This window comes from Homo sapiens, chromosome 5 (assembly GCF_000001405.40).
Source record: "Homo sapiens chromosome 5, GRCh38.p14 Primary Assembly".
Taxonomy (NCBI): domain Eukaryota; kingdom Metazoa; phylum Chordata; class Mammalia; order Primates; family Hominidae; genus Homo; species Homo sapiens.
This window is the reverse complement of record NC_000005.10, coordinates 9364059-9381437: the sequence shown is the minus strand read 5'-3', so window position 1 is coordinate 9381437 and position 17379 is coordinate 9364059. Positions and strand designations below refer to the sequence as shown.

The 17379-nt window shown below is 38.8% G+C and overlaps 1 protein-coding gene across 10 annotated transcripts in view; it reads left to right on the top strand.

The window, feature by feature from the left end:
• SEMA5A (semaphorin 5A) overlaps positions 1-17379 on the top strand; it is a 511043-nt gene that overhangs the window by 164638 nt on the left and 329026 nt on the right. For 9 of the 10 annotated variants that reach the window (XM_011514158.3, NM_003966.3, XM_011514157.3 and 6 more), the window contains one exon: positions 1415-1615. In XM_011514158.3, coding sequence (XP_011512460.1) covers positions 1492-1615 — 124 coding nt within the window. In that variant the 5' untranslated portion in view covers positions 1415-1491. Of the gene's footprint in view, positions 1-1414; positions 1616-17379 lie in introns of those variants that run through there. The other variant, XM_047417867.1, reaches the window with a different exon arrangement.

Below are 17379 nucleotides of genomic sequence, written 5' to 3'. Positions count from 1 at the left end.
TGAGCCAACCCAGATTCCAGGTGGAGAACATAGATCCAGCTCTCAATGGGAGGAATGCCCGAATCTGTGGCCATCTCTAATTTGCCGTAGTTTCCATTACCCACAGTTATTGTGTACTATGTTTGCCTTTTGATTCACATTGAAACCCTCAAAGTCACTGCTTCATTTATTTCTCTTCTTAACAATTGTAATGGCTTCAAACTGACTTCTCCATTTCTATGTTCTCATCTGCCTAGTTTCCTAGGTACACTATTGTGATAATGGTCTTATTAATATTAATAAGATCTTCTAACATTAATGTACTATGGTAGCTTGTTGCCTGAAAATAAAGACCTCACACCTTAGTGTAGTTTGCCTTCCATATCTTAACCTACTCTGTAAGCTCTTCCCAATACTTCCCTTTAAACTTCCTAGATCGAGTACAGCACACCATTCCTAAAACATGTTGCGTACCTCTTCCTCTTGCCCCTCCAATGTGCCTTTTCATCCTCCTCCCTGGGGACGGAACGTCCTTCCAGAAACCTCCATCTGTTGAAATCCTCTTTATCCTCCAGCATTACACTCAGATTTGAGCCCCTGCATGGACCCGTCATAGATCCTTCTCTGTAGCAGTCGTATTCTCCCTTGACTCCCACAGCACTCCTGTTCTTTTTGAGGTTTGCTAACAGCTTGGATTATAGTTATTTTTACAGGCCTGTATTACTTTAATGCTTGTTAATCATTTAAATTGTTCATAATCTTTAAAGTTTCCAAGCATAGTACTTTTATTTCACCCAGTAGGTGCTCGATATAGATTTTATTTGATTCACACTTGATCTCTAGCCAGATATTTTGCAGGCAGATTATCTACAATTTTAAAAGGTTATCCTGCATCACTAAATACAGAATTTAGCAAATCGTGATGATTTTTTAAAGTTGGGCAGCATAATATTCATCAATTTATTAGTAAAAGACAATGGCTGTGGCCTTCTTAAAACTAAATATTTTAAATGTTAAAAAGGGATGGGCAGGTATTTGTAGGGTTTCCACATATAGACCTGTGTTTGCGCAAGGGGTTAGGACAGGTGACCAAGGGAAATCCGGCCAATCCCAACTATTAATCTGCATTCCTTAGGAGTGAGTGTGACGACAGTACAGCTTAAGCTTGAGCATTTCTCGTTTAAAACAAATGGGCTATGTCATGCAATTATTGGGAGAATGAGAGGTCTGTATTGAGATACACGCACTCACGCATGCATTCATACACACACACGACCTGGGATATGACTAGAAAAATATGCTGCTCTAAGCCCTCCAAGCTCTCCTCTATCTCCACAAAGTGTAACCTTAAAGTTAGTGAGGAAGTTTTACCAGAAGACCACCCACCAGAAAACGAACTCACAGTCATCTGATTCTTCTCTTTTGTGTGTTTTAGGCACTTTCCACACATGAGGAGAAGAAGAGCTTCTGTTTAGAAGACACGTGCCCAGAGTCAGAGGCCCCTTGCCCACCATGAAGGGAACCTGTGTTATAGCATGGCTGTTCTCAAGCCTGGGGCTGTGGAGACTCGCCCACCCAGAGGCCCAGGGTACGACTCAGTGCCAGAGAACCGAGCATCCAGTCATCTCCTATAAAGGTAAGGAACCAGCACGCACTGATTGCAAAGCCGTCATCTAAATGCACATTCTGTGTTTAGTGATAGAAGATAATAGAGCATCACGAATGCTGTATAATCCAGTGGCTCTTGTTTCAGACACAGTTTAAAATAAAGGTAAAACTACAAAAGCCTCTATCATTAGAATTTCATATCCAGAAACTGATTACCACCTCAAGAGGGATCTAAGACAGGGATTACCAAGGTAAAAAAATCTCATTATTTCTGGTCACCTTTATTTAACAGGTACTGTGGGCCTCCTAAGTGTTTGAACCAAAGGATAAAAATGTGACCATAAAAATAACAACAAAACCAAGGAAAGCCTAAAATTCTTCACTATGGCATTTCCCTGCAAAGCCTTAGTCTTGCCACAAACCTAGCCCTTTGTTTCTATCTAGCATTGCATGGCAGCAGAATTGATTTAATGTCCCAAGTATCTCTATGGATTGGTAGGATTAAATAATTAATCTGTATATCCACTCATTTATTCTTTCATTCATTGAAATTTATTTAAGGTCCTTCACACCCGGGGCACTCAAGCATTCAGAGTGGAAAAGAAAATAGACTCTATCTCTGTCCTCAAGGAATTATATTATCAGGCTAAATATGATGAATGAGACATTGTATTTCAGTAATTCATGCAACAAGTGGTTTTATATTTTGTTGTTTTTAAAACTTTGTATCAAACACTTTCAAATATCTATGGAAATAGAAAGAATAGTCTAAGGAGCACAAAAAAAGAAAGAATAGTCTAAGGAGCATGCAGCCCCACACTTATCAATTCATGGCCCATCCCCATCCTTTTTCATCTAAATTTCCACTCATGCTTCATCTCATACCCATTAAATTATTTTGGAGGAAATTAAAAAAAAATCAAATAATTTTATCCATCAGATTTCAGTTGATAATACTCAAAGATAAGGAATTCAGTACCATTATCACAGCAAACAAACAAACAAATAATAAATGATTTCATGACATCATCAAGCACCCAGAGGGCATTGAGAGATCTTTCATGGGTTCATAAATACTTCGGCATCTTTTGGCCAGTTAAGTCAAATCGAGATTTAAGTAAATTCCATGCACTGCCATTGGTTGGTATATTTCTTGAGTCTCTTTTAATATTTTACTTTTATTTCACACCCTTTGCAAATTACAGAAACCAAGTTCTTTGTCCTGGACAGTTTCCCACAGTCTGGAGTTTGCTCATCGCATTCTGATTGTGTGCTTCAAATATTCCTCTTTCCAAAGATGTCTGTAAATTCCTAGTAATCTCAAGACACCTGCTGAGATCCAGGTTTGGATCTTTTTGTCTTGACCGTGTCATGGGTAGTGCAGCGTATTTCCTTCAGGAGGCAGAGCATATCCAGCTGGGAAATGATCAGTCATTGATGATCACAGCCTCAATCTACTGATTCATCTGTGGGTACAAAACTGGGATTTTCTCATTTTATTATTTTGCTCATTTAATGGTTAGAATACTTCTATATAAACTATCTTTCCTTCATCAACTCTTTACGTATCCTGAAGGTACACCTTATGCAGGAAAGGCAAAATAAATGTTCCCCGCCCCCCATCAATTTATACTTTTATTTTTTTTTAAATACACAAGTAGGTTGGTTCTTTAACATCCCACAGGTCATTCATTTGTCATCCAAAGGGGATGAATAAGATGTTATGTTTGCCTTTTTCTTATTTTGATTATTATAATTATTATTAATACATGAATTTCAACATATTTGATGTATTTTAATCCATGTAGTTTACATCCTTGTACATGGTGAAATTATAGCATTTTAAGCCCAGTGTAGCCTCTTGAGAGCAGCTTCTGGACTCTTCTGACTCCATCCAAGTCATCTTTGAGAGCTTCTTTACTCTCTGGGTTGACAAGATGTTCCTATTCCTTTTACTTATTTCCTTCCACAGACCTGGGAATCACTCATTTCTGTATGCTTTGAGCACCAAAGGTGCCCACAGGTCTTCTCAGTGGACAGTGCTAACAAAAGCATTTTTAAAACATACCATAAACTTCTCCTGATACTCCCAACTCATCTCCAGGACTCTAGGGTCTTTGTTAACCTTTCCCATCTTAGTGTCTATTTCTTCCTTGCACAAAATCTCAAGTCTCTGCTGACCAACCTAATTATTTCTTTGCCTTTTTTCTTTAGTACACAGTCATTTTAGAATAACAGCTTCATGCAAACCTAGTTGTTTTGGATTATTGAAAAATCTTTAAAATGACTTTTTTCTCTCTCTTTTTTTTTTGTCCTCGCGTATATATTTCACTGGAAAATTTTAGTGAAATTAGCAAAATTACTGCTTTAAAACCAGTAGAAATAATTTCTTTCTGCGTGGTTATGGCACCAACCCAAGACCCAGTTACTATCATTTGTTTAATTATTGAAGCAAAAGGTGTTCAAAGGAATCTAGCTTTGCTTCCTGTTTTCTTGATCCTATTCCAGAGCTCTTTCTGCATTTAGCTATTTACCTATATTTTATGGGTTAGGCTACTTTTGTAATAGAAGCAAAGCAACACACACACATACAAATATATATTTATGTTCTCTTTCCTTAGATGAAAGGTGGCAATTATATAGACTTGTTTCTGTGTAACATTATTTTAACCTAATGATATATGCTGGAGCCTACTCTCTAGAAGAGTGTAGAGATTGATGTCATTCTTTTTTTTTTTTTTTTCGGTAGCTACATAGCTTCCACTATGTGATGAGCCCTAACCTAATCAAAAACACCTTACTGAGAGATGCTTAGGTTATTTTCTGCCATTTGTGACCATGGATAGTGTTTCAGTGAGTAATGCCTCCTGTAAACATTATGTAATATTTTTGCAAGTGTACCGTTGAAAGAGATTATTCGAATTGGGATTTCTGGGCCAAAGGGTGAATGCATATGTCGTTTTGTAAATGTTGCCCAATTCTCTTTCATAGAGGTTGCACCACTTTGCATTCTAGTTGCCCTGGATATGAATACCTATTTCTCTGCCGCCTTTCCTGCAGAGTACACCGTCAGGCTTTGGGATTTGGACCAAACTCAGTGCATAAATGGCATCTCAGTGTATTTTTATTTGCATGTTTTTAATTCGGAGTGAACCTTCAATGAACATTTAAGAGAAGCCTGTTGTGTACAGGGTTTTTACTAGATATTGAGGAGATCAAGAAGATGCTCAGTTCCTGTTAAAAGGGTTTAGACTATTTTTAGGAATGTGAACCAAAAGGGCCATTGCGTAATATTCTGTGAAGGGTCCTAACAGGTGCCTGTGTTGGGTGCTGCAGAGCCTAGGAGAGGGGCTCTAAGCCCACATCCTGGGCTGTAGGACGGTGGTTGAAAAAGGTTTCTAGGATGAAGCCATGCCAGAACTGCATCCCAAGTGATTGTTAGAAGGTGTTTACAAAACTTATGAAAGGAGAGGTTTCCAGGGAGAGGAAAAGAGCAAGTGATAAGCCCTGAAGTGAGAGAGGGAGCATTGCGGGTCCTGGCAAGCCTCACGCACAGGAAGTCAGGACATCTTATTTTACGATATGGAGGAGGAGGTGGAGGGCATGAGGCTCACATGGCAAGTGGGGATTCGGAGGTGCCTGGCATTGGAAGTCATCTGAATAAGTTTATCCTTTATCTGGAGGATGACAAAATGCCGGCAGGGACAGCCCATTCTGAGGCTGCTACTGAGACCAAAGGGAGGAGGAACTGCATTAAGGGAAGGGAGGCAGAAATGTAGAGAAGAAGTAGATTCTGGAAATTGGAAAGGAGTGTGGTTGAGGATTCAGTAGATGTAGAGCAGGAATGAGAAGGAAGCCCTGACTGCAATCCCCACATTCTTGGCTGTTGATTCCATATAGAATCAAGAAGAGAAAGCAGATAAGAGGGGTGTGGTGATTTTAGATGGAAAAGGCTGAGTTCCTGTGAGCCACCAGATGGAATTATCTAGTTGAGGGCAAGCCTTTCTGAGAACCAAGAATGGGGATATTTTCAAGAAGGCTATGTCCAGCAGAGCGTCAGATACTGCAGAGTGTTCAAGGCAGGTGTATGCCAGAAGGAAGAGTGACACACTTGTCCTGGTCTTCCTGGGACTTTCCTGGTTGCTTCTGTTCTGGGAAAGCCAGGACAATTCGTCACTTTCTGAGAAATTCTGTCAGCAGTACTGTATTAGCTGCTTAGGGCTGCTGTAACAAATTACTGCACACTAGATGGCTTAAAACAACCTAATTGTCTCTTCTTACAGTTCTGGAGGCCAGAAGTCCAAAATTACGGTGTTTGCAGGTCTGTGTTCTCTCTGAAGTCTCTAGAGAAGAACCGATCTCTGCTTCCTCCTAGCTTCTCATGATTGTCAGCAATGTTTGGCATTCCTTTGCTCATGGACACATCACTCCAGTCTCTTAGTCTGTAGTCTCATGGTATCCTCCCTCTGTGTCCCTGCCTTTTTGTCTTCTCTTTTTATAAGGACATAAGTCATGTTGAACTTAGGGCTAACCTTAATCCAGTACGACCTCATCTTAAACAATTTGTCTGCAAAGGTGCCGTTTCCAAATACGGTCACATTCAGAGGTACCTGTGGTTAGGACTTCAGTATATCTTTTGGGAGGACACATAAAAGGCAGCATTTATCGGAGCAGTTTCAGTGCAGGGTTGGGGGAAGAAACCAGATGGTGATATGTGTGGGGATATATCAAAGGTTAGGGACTAGATGATAGATATAAAAGGAGAGAATTCATGTCAGTCATGCAAGGACATAAGGGGCAGGGAACAGCTTTTCAAAGAGCATGACTTAACCATCCTCAAATGGCGATGGGAAGGAATGAGGTGAAGGAAGAGGCTAAAGAGAGAGAAGAGAGGGGAGATGATTGTTTAAGCAGAGACCCCGGTGCTGTAGGAGGGCACAGCAACTGGGAACAGGTGCCCAGTAAAGTTATAGGAAGCCAACTCCACCTCCAGTGAGCCTGGAGGGCAGGAGGCCAAAGCACCCAGGATGCAGGAAAGCTTGTGGGTGGGGGTGGGTGCGGGAGAGGAAGGAGTTCCTGAAGATCTCTGTCTTGGCTGAAGAGGGGTAGGCAGGCCCCAGGCCAAGAGTACAGGGCCTTAGAAAGGAAGTGCTTCTCTGAGGAGGGAATAAAACTATTTTTCTCTCTCTCTGTCACACACACACACACACACACACACACACACACACGATGTCTTGTGATGTTATGCACCCAGTCAGGCCTTGAAATGGCTCATGTTACAGCTGAACAAGTGGTCTCTGCGACTCCCCGTGAACGCTTTTTTGTAAGGCACCATTCCAAGAAACTTTGAGAAAGTAGGATGAAACACTGACTAAGGGGAAATAAAGGGAGAACCGGATAATCTTGACTTAAAATCCTGATTTCCATGCAGATAGTATTATGCACTGGAGGCATTCTGCATAGGATGCTACTGATGAAGGACTGGATGGTAACGGAACGTCTTCATGCAACTTAGCATGTTCTGTCAGAGTCTTGATCTGATTTACCTGGCTAGGCAGAAGATGCTGGTAGAATCTTTTTTTTTTTCCAGCCTCTGTGAAATATTTGCCACTGCAGGCTCCTCCTGTCTAGTGGAGTTCATTGCATAACACGCTTTAACAGCTTGCTATGTTTGCAAGGTTACTTGCCTGACTCTGTGTTCTGGAATATTTAGCCCTGATTGTGCAGTGGCTGCTAAAACACCCTGACCCATTACAGATGCACCGTTCACACATATGTCCTTGTCATTTGTTTAAATGTCTATTCCAATAAAGAGGGGAAAAATAGTGACCCTTCAAGACAGCATGTTTCTCAGCATGCTTACTGAGTCTCAAAACCATCTCTGAAATTAGTTTTAAATGTTTAATGTCTACTTAAGGCAATGTGCCATATTCTGCTTTTGTTTGTTTATTGATTAAAGTTTACTCAGTATGCTGGCTATTTAGAGAGCATGCTCCTGTTATAGGAATTGGTTTGTGGGAAGCAATTTCACATTATTCACAAAGAAAGACCACCAGTGATGTGAGTCATGCTGTACTTTGCGTGGGTCCTTCATATGACTGATTTGGAGGCCTTTCTTCAGGGTGTTAGCTGGCAGCATTTAGCATTAATGCCTAAGATTACTCCTGCCTGCAGAATCAGGCAGGGCCCTATTGATTTCCATTCCCAGGTCCCAGCGATCTTTATCTTTAACTCCTTAATGTTCCTGTAGAGTGTCCTCCTACTTATGGGTTTATTGATTGGCCTGAGAATTGTTCTGAAACTTAAGCAAGAGCTGCATGGACTCGTGATAGAGGATTTGCAACATTTAGCTCCAGTGGCTTGGGAAGGGCATGGAGGGAATTGAGATGACTGCTCCAGCTTGGGCCATCACCGGGACTGGGCTAGGGGGTTGCACTTGGTTTTCTGCTGCTTCCCTAAGGAACTTGGGTTTTAACAGCTGCCTTTATCCCCATATGTAGTCTTAGATGATTGAAAAAACAGTGACTGAAAGTGACCAATTAGGATTTTAAACTTGGGTTTTATTCCCATATCACAGTATGAATGATTATTTTTCATGGATCCTATATTTTCCTTTCAAAACATATCATTATATTACATTATATTTATGTGTGTGTTGCATGCATTGCTTTGTTAAATTTTGACAGGAAGAATATCTGACATGTTTTGTAACTCTGAGTTGGCTCTTTCTCGTATTCACTCACTGTGCCCCCAGCCCCTCTCCTAGTCTAAGAAGCTCTTTCTGCCCTTCTCTAATGTGGCCATGTGCATATTACATGTTGTCATCATAACTGCCCTTCTTGCCTGTTTTCTGGCCTCCTGTCACTCTTCCCTTGACCCCGTGCTGTCTTGTGGGCCACTGGCATTGCTCAGCCTGCCACCTGCTCCTCCTGCGGCTGGAGAAGGCGTAACACGGACAGTGTCAAGGTACAACAAACTGTAACCTCTCAGAAAATGAAGGCATGCTGGATGAGTGAAGGAGATGTTTCTGTGCTAGGCTCCATGTGTGTCCACAGGTCCATGTGTGTGACATGGCTCCGTGCATGTGTGTCTCATGGCTCTATGCATATCCATGTCTCCCTCTATGTGCCATCTAAGTGCCTCCCATGGCTGCACGTGTGTGACATGGCTCCATGCATGTGTGTCTCATGGCTCCATGCATGTGCCATGGCACTATGTGTCTCCCACAGCTACATGCATGTCTCATGGCTCCATGCTTGTCTATGGTTCCATGTGTGTCCCACAGCTCCAGGCATATCCATGTCTTTATGTGTGTCCATGTATCCATGCATATCCCATCCCTCCATGTGTGTCCACAGTTCTAGGCATGTTCACAACTCCATGTATGTATGTCCCATGGCTCCATGTGTGTCCCATGGTTCCACACATATCCCATGGTTCCATGCACGTCCACATCTCCTTGCATGCCGCATGGCTCCACGCGTGTCCCACAGTTCCATGCGTGTCCCATGGCTCCATGCGTGTCTCATGATGCTCTGTTTCTTCTCTGGGATTTGGCTGTCTGGTGTCTAATGCACCAAGCAGTTGTGTGGAGTCATGGTACTGGCTGAGTTTAGCCTCTTCATTAGGATACAGCAACCTCATTGCCACAGGACAGGCTGCAGTAGAGGATTCCTCGAGTCCCTGTGAGATTCCAGAGGTTTCTGAGTCTGAATATATAAATCTTGGGTAAAACTGCTTCCAGTATTTCTCTCTGTTCATCTAGTCTCAGATCTACCACTGTGACCTTTAGAAATCATAAATGTGTGTGATTGCATGATAATGTCCTACTTTCTCCAAGGAGGAATTAAGAACATTTATTTTAATTAGAAATAGATAGCATGACATTAATTTTAATACTTAGTTTTAACATTTTCATATGAATCTGATTAACATATAGGAAGACACTGCTAACTGTTGAAAACTGTCTTGAACTCAACATTTTCTCTGTAAACTAAAATTTACATAAACCAAGTGTGATCTTCACTTGTTTCAGAATAGGATATGACTTATCCTCTTAAGAGTTTACTTGGGGAGGAAACGTGCTGTTATGGATCCTTAAATATCCTTTGTTCCATGAATAATTTGTCTTTTCATTATCATGCATATGACTGGATGTTTTATGTGATGTAATGTCAAAATCACATTGGCAAAATATTTTAATCTATTTGCAAAGGAACCAGCTAAGGTATAACCACATTGCCTGCTTTTTACATTACAAAATGCATTTTGGGATACATTTCTGATTTTAAAATATATTGTCAGTTTTCTATCTGGAGAAATGAAATATTTTTAAAAAACCACTTTTCAATTCTATAATCTAGGTATGTAATAATTATTCATGAGTGCACAGAGATGTTAGGAGAAAATGCAGCATGTAACCACTATAAGTTATTAACAAAGAGAATTGGTTCTAATACTTAGACTGGACTTTAATGTTGTTATTGATCTTTGGCTGATGAGACCTGAGAGGGTCCCTGTTGTGCATTTTTATAAGCAATAATTAGACTGACGAAAATGGTTTATTGAGTTTTGAAAATTATTAATAACTTTCATGTTACTTTTGCGTTCTAGGGCCACTAATTAAATAATTTATAAGATTGAATATTTATATTTTATCTTCAGGTAAAATTTCAATTGTTTTTTGGTTGATTTATCTCAATAGGGAGATAGTTTTTATTATTTTAAGTCTTTGAGTGGATTGCTTGTAAGTAAAGTTGTGCAATTTGATTGAGTTAAAACTGGGAATAAGGATTTGTAAAGTTACTGTTAGAATTCTGATTTAAAATAGTGTTTCCATTTGGCCTCAAATGGTACGTTATTGTATTTTATCTATCTTTAAGTATATTATAATCTTTCTAAGCATTAAATGGGCAATTCATCTGTTTGTCATACTGAAGGTAGATAAAAATCCTTATTTTATGTACAGAGGAAGAGTTGGAGATTAAATGTGGGGTGAGTAAAGTTTTAATTAGGCAGTATCTTTCTTGGATTATGTCCTCCTTTCTTCTCTTTATATCAGCACAAGGTAAGCCACCTTGGTTACATTTGGGAGACAAAGCTTATGCCATCTCCAGTGGATAGCAGTGGTGATGTCTCTCTGTTACCAACAAAACAACAGAAAAAGACTGCATGAAGGTTTCCAAATCTTATTTACTTTGGTTTTTAATTTAATCAACACTTTAAATTTGTATTTTCTTGAATCTTTTTTATTATTGACTAAAGAGAGGCTGGGAGGTAATCTCTAGCTTTATTCTTTAATTTCTCTTTTGCTCTCCCAATTCCTTCATATGACTCAGGGGCAAGTCTAATCACACATGTTCCATGAGTGAGAAAGTGTTCTTATTCATGATTAAGAGCCTGCCAGACTCATGCTGTCATCCACAGTGATGTTGTGTGCTAAAGCACCAAAATGAATGGATTCCTCTAATCCCCAGTGTAAAAAGTCGGGGTAACACTATTTGACCCATCCTACCTTGAAAATATGTCTGGGTGTGCCTTAGAGAGGCTGCAAACCCTGCTAACTAAAATCAATGAAGCAAGACCCTGACGCCAGGAACGGCTGAGCAGAGTGCTCATGGCAGCTCTCAGAAGGTGATTAACGGTTGTCATTCTCATTTGTATGTTTGATTTTTTGTGCCACTCAATTCTCTGGCTTCAGCACAGAGAATTACTTGTTTAAAGATGAAAGCAGAGGCCCAGTTCATTAATAATTCAGTCAATATTTATTGAGTGCTTATTATGTGCCAGAAATTGTTTTAGTTACTAGGGTTACCCCAGGAAGTAAAACAGAAATAAATCCTGGCCCACACTGAGTTTACATTTTATTAGGAGAGTCAGACAATAATAAGATATAGACATGTAGTAGAATTGGTTACATAGTGATAAGGGTTGAGGAAAAATATAAGGCAGGGAATGGGTTAAGTGAAGGAAGGGGTTCATCTAATCACACATGTTCCATCAGCGATGGAACTTTCATAATGATAACCAGGTATGCCTCTAAGCTCCTGCACTGCCATTTTTTTTTTTTTGGTTTGTTCTGCAGGGAAATGTTGGAAGACCTACACTACAAGAACTCAAAACAATGATGTAATTGCATGAGGAAAACTATAAGGCAATGAACAGAAAGCAGAGATCAGAAATAGGCCCACATATACATATATATTGTCAATTAACTTTTAGTGAAGAGGCTATGGTAAATCAATGAGAAAATAGTAGTCTTCAACAAGTGGTACTGGAAAAATGGTATATCTCTCTGCAAAAAGTAAACTCTAAATATTGCTTCACACAATATACAACAATTACCTGATAGGGATGACAGACCTAAGGTTAAGAGCAAAAATTTAAAAACCTCTGGAAGAAAACATATAAGAAATATTTCCAAAACTTTGAATTAGGAAAGATTTTTTAGCTAGAATATGAAAAGCACATACCAGAAAATTTGATAAATTGGACCACATTCAAATGAAAAGCATTTTCTCTTCGAAGACACCATTAAGAAAATGGATAAGCAAGCCATACACTGTGTGGGAATATTTGCAAAATATTTGACATACATACACACACACACAGAGATACACATATTTACCATATATATATGTGGTCTTGTGTCCAGCATATATAAAGTCTTACAACTTAAGAAAACAATCTAATTTTTAAAAATGGACTAGCAATTTAGACATAACTGCATAGTGAGATACCTCCACACACACTGCAGACTGACTAAAATTAGAAAGGCTGACAATACCAAGTGTTGGCAAGGATATGGCACAACTGGACCTCTTGTTTTGTTGTTAATAATGCAGGATGATGATGCATAATGATTCAGCCACTTGGGAAATGTGACATTTCTTCAAAAGTTAAACATATACTTACAATAAGTCCCAGAAAATTCACTCCTAGGTATTTTCCCAACAGTAACATAATATTGAATAATGTCTACAGAAAGATTTGTATCCAAGGGTTTATAGAAGCTTTATTCTTAAAAACTCCAAACTGGAAACAACCCAAAAGTTCATCAATGGAAATGAATAAATTAATTATGTAAAATGGAGAACTACTGGGCAATAAAAAGGAAACAAACTACAAATACAGATAGCAAGCTAGATGAAATCTCAGAGTATCATGCTAAATGAAAGAGTCTAGATACAAAAGAATATGTATTCATTATCTCATTATGTGACATTCTGTGGAAGATAGAATTGTAGCAGCAGAATACCTATTAATGGCTGCCTGGATATAGGGTCAAGGAAGAAATTGACTGCAAGGTGTACGAGAGATTTTTTGAGTTGCTGCAAATATTCTATATCAAGATGAAGAGGTGGTGACAGGTTTTATACATTTGTTAAAAGTCATTAAATTTTACATTTAAATGAGTAAATATTATTCTACCTAAATAATACCTCTATGAAACCAATTTTTGAAATTACGTTAGTCCCAACTCAAATGAGGATGCATAAACTTGTCGAGAGTGTCAAATCCAGTAATCATATTGCTTTAGAAATAGCCTGAGTTTGTTAGGATACAATGCCACATATTTTTGGGCATCACGTCCAAGCATTATGTGAGAACTTTACAATGTGAAAGATAATTCTGAATAATGTGTTATGTAACATTTAATAAGACCTAGGTGTGTGTATGTGTGTGTACATGTTTCAGCAAATTACTTGAAATCCAAGATTATCTTTAATGAAAACCCACCATAGACTGTGACTTAGTTCATTTTGCATTACTGTAAAGGAATATCTGAGAGTGGGTAATTTATAAAGACAAGAGGTTTATTTGACTAACAGTTCTGCAGGCTGTACAAGCATGGCACCAACATCTACTTGACTTCTGGTGAGGCCTCAGAAAGCTTTTACTCATGGCAGAAGGAGAAGGGGGTATGGGCATATCACATGCCAAGAGCGGGAGCAAGAGAGACAGGGCAGATGTCCCAGACTCTTTTTTAACAACCAGATGTTACATGAACTCATTTCGGCAAAGAGGGCCCCAAATCATTCATGAGGGATCTTCCCCCATTCTCCAAGCACAGCCCACTAGGCCCCACCCTCAACATTGGGGACCACATGCCAACATGAGATTTGGAGAGAAGAAACAACCAGACTATATCAGACTGTTTTATCAGTAAAGTTTTCCTCACAAAGTTATTTTAAGGGCTAAGTTCATGTTAACTTGGCATAAGAAAGTTAATTTATTTAACTCCCAAAGGCAGTCTGGAGGAAAATTTCTGAGTATACCACTTTCAGAGGTGCCATCACATTTGAGAATTGTTGATTTTCAGATTGCTTTTGAATTTAAGTGATAAAAATACTTTTTGGAATAATAGATATTATATTAACCATGGAGAGGAAATAAGAGAGATACATATTTAGCCTGAGTAGCTTTTGTAGTAATGCATGCAATTCTTCTTTTACCTTTTCAGGGTGAGTTTTCTATAGGTGATCCTTCCTTTCTTCCTGTTCCTACAATTAGAAACAGAACAATAAGAGAACTCATGGCTATAAAGCAGTGCTGGCCAATAGAACTTTCTATGATGATAGAAATGCTCATATTCTGTATTGACAAATATGGTAGCCATTAGCCATGTGTAGCTGTTGAGGATTGAAATGTTACTTCTAAAGTAATACGTTTTAATTGTATTTAATTTTAATTAGTTAAATTAAAATGTAGTCATTTATTGCCAGTGTCTACTATATTGGATAGCATAATTATAGACCTTTGCCTTCCAGCATCACTTAACGAAGATCGATGTAGGCTGTTCTGCTCAGAGACTCATGTGCCTTGGCCTCCTCTCTGAGTCAATTTTTTGGAAAGCATCATGGTTCATGTTTAAAGAATACCAGACTAGGAAAGGAAACCTGTGCAATTGTTGTGAATCTGCTGTTAACTGCTTCTCTGATGTATAGAAAATCTATTGTGTTCCATTTTCATCTCAATTTCTTCAAGTGAAAAATGAGCCCATAGGGCTACTATATCTAAGGTTCCTACCACATTGATTCTATTGCTCTTGAAACTAGGGAAATAAGGGAACATAAGGGACATTTGGGACATTCTTTATCTCTTCAGGAAAATTCCCTCCTTTCTTCATCCTCAAACAACAACACAATAGAATTCTTTATTGTGGCTGGGAGCGGTGGCTCACGCCTGTAATCCCAGCACTTTGGGAGGCTAAGGCGGACGGATCATGAGGTCAGGAGATGGAGACCGTCCTAGCTAACACGGTGAAACCCCGTCTTTACTAAAAATACAAAAACTTAGCTGGGCGTGGTGGTGGGCACCTGTAGTCCCAGCGACTTGGGAAGCTGACGCAGGAGAATGGCGTGAACCCGGGAGGCAGAGCTTGCAGTGAGCCGAGATCGCACCACTGCACTTCAGCCTGGGCGACAGAGCGAGACTCCATCTAAAAAAAAAAAAAAAGAATTCTTTATTGCAGGAGCAAAATAAAAATGGAGATTTCTGTTGACATTATTGACACTGGCATTTTTGTCACAAATATTTAGTAGGAAAAAATCAGTATATTTTATTTGAATGATGGTTTGACCTCCAATTTGCATACATTTCCACAATTAATTGCCATATAAAGAGATTACAGCCATATTCCAATTGAGAATTTGCACTGCTTCACTACCTAGAAGCAAATGATTCAGAGATGAAATATTAACATACATGTTTTAAGTCATCAGTGCAGTAAAGTTTAGAAACCCTTACCCCGAAAGCTCACTGGCTATTAAGCTAGAATATCCATTAGAAATATTTTGACTTCAGGTAATAGATAGTTAGTCTAATTGTGGTTTATATCATAAGGATGTTCATTGTCTCCTAACTAGATGCAAAGAGTAAGCAGTGCAGGGCTGGTTCAGAGCTCAACAGTGGCAGCAAGGACCCAAGTGCTGTCATTTTGCTCAATAATCCTCACGGGGTTGGCTCTTGCCCTTGGTTTTTATTTCATGTTAGGATGGCTGCTGGCAGTGTTCAGAGACAGGCAGTAGTGGGAGGGTGGGGGCAACCAGCTTCTTTGCTCTCTGCTTAGTATCAGAAATCAACAACAAAAGCCAAATCTTACATGAAGCCATGTGCAGAATTGTTTGCATATGAATGGCCAGAGCTATTTGTGTGGCTGCCTCTAGGTGTAATTGAAAAGGAAGTGTCTGGCAAGGGAGAATGGAAAAAAACCACCATTTATGTCCTGAGTCCAGCAGGCCTGGGACCAGGATTAGGTGAGTGAGGAACTCATCTTGGGTACACTATTTAAATGGTGCTGAAACACTCAGTAATCAAGATAAATAATATACTAATGCAATATTTTAAAAAGCTATCTGAATGCAAAAAAATCAAGCAATGATGAACAGCACTCTAGATTTTAAATAAAGACAGGATCAGTACAGTCTCCTGCCGAGCCCCATTGGGGCTCCAGGGTCTTTATTCAAAATGTTGATGGTTTGCTCCTCCTGGATTTTTGCATTAATCTAGACCTTGAAAAATATTATATTAAAATATTATTTATCTTGATTACTGAAATTTTTTGATCCCCTGAAATTTTACACTCCAAATGAGGTACTTACTAGCCTTGCCCTTGCTCCAGCCCTGGTTGTTTAACAAAATCAGGTTCTGTTAGCAAGGAAGATCCGTACTACGGTAGTTTAGCTTTCTCCTCAGCTGTGTTGTCAGTTCTGTATATTTTCTAATGCATCTGCCCACAGAAATGGGTATCCTTATATATGTGTTGTGGAATATGTCTGTCTCCCCTGTGATAAAACCCTGGTGAGTAAATAAAATGTATACTCCACCTTGTGCTTTACATAAGGGCTCTTTCTGAACAATGAGTACTCAATACATGTTTTATTAAATAGCTGAACAGAAACTCTTTTGACAAGAAACAGAAAACTCAACCCTTGCAAATTATTCCCAATCAATTCTGAGATACAAAGAAGAAAATAAATAATTCCTCATTTTAATATATTTTTTGTATTTTAGAAGACATTGAATGACTCGAAATTCAAAAATATGAGTCACAACAAGTTTGGGAGAATGGAAGGATCTGTTGGTGCTTTTTATGACTTTTGAGATGAACAATGGGAATTTGACTCTCTTTAGGAATAGCTAAGTATGTTTTCAAATAACTCACGTTATAAAATTGTAGAAATTATAATTAAAAATTATGAAAGCTGGTGCACAATAATTTGTCCTTCTTATAATTTTAATCTAACTATGTCTTTGGTCTGATTAAATAATATTTGATATTGATAAGCTGTTTATTTGAAACCTCTTAAGCTTTTTTCTCCTCAAGGAGCATGATAAAAGCAAGCCATCTCTCATTGGGAAAAGCTTTAAAATCCTATTAGGATGTTCCTTGTGAATAAAAGCTATGCTCCTTCAGTGAAAATATTAGATGAAAAGAATTTCATCTAGACCTGTGAAGCCTGACTAATATAGATATGTAGTAGGAATTACATTCAGGGCTATAAAATAAGTTTGTATTAAGGGCCAAAGGCATTATTCACACCATTTATAAGATATAGTTCTTCACTCTCAAAGGTGTCTGCACAAAATTGTTCAATGTCTTCTCTGATTTAATTCAGATTTTGAAAGCTCTTAAGGGCAATCTTTGGAATTTAGAGAGAATAAAGAAAGAACATATGAAAATAATAAATTTACATGGTTGTTAAAGATGCCTGCTATAAGAAAAATTAACTTAGCAAGGAAAGAAAGAGTGGGAAGATTATAGTGAACTTTGCATGTGTTTATCATTAC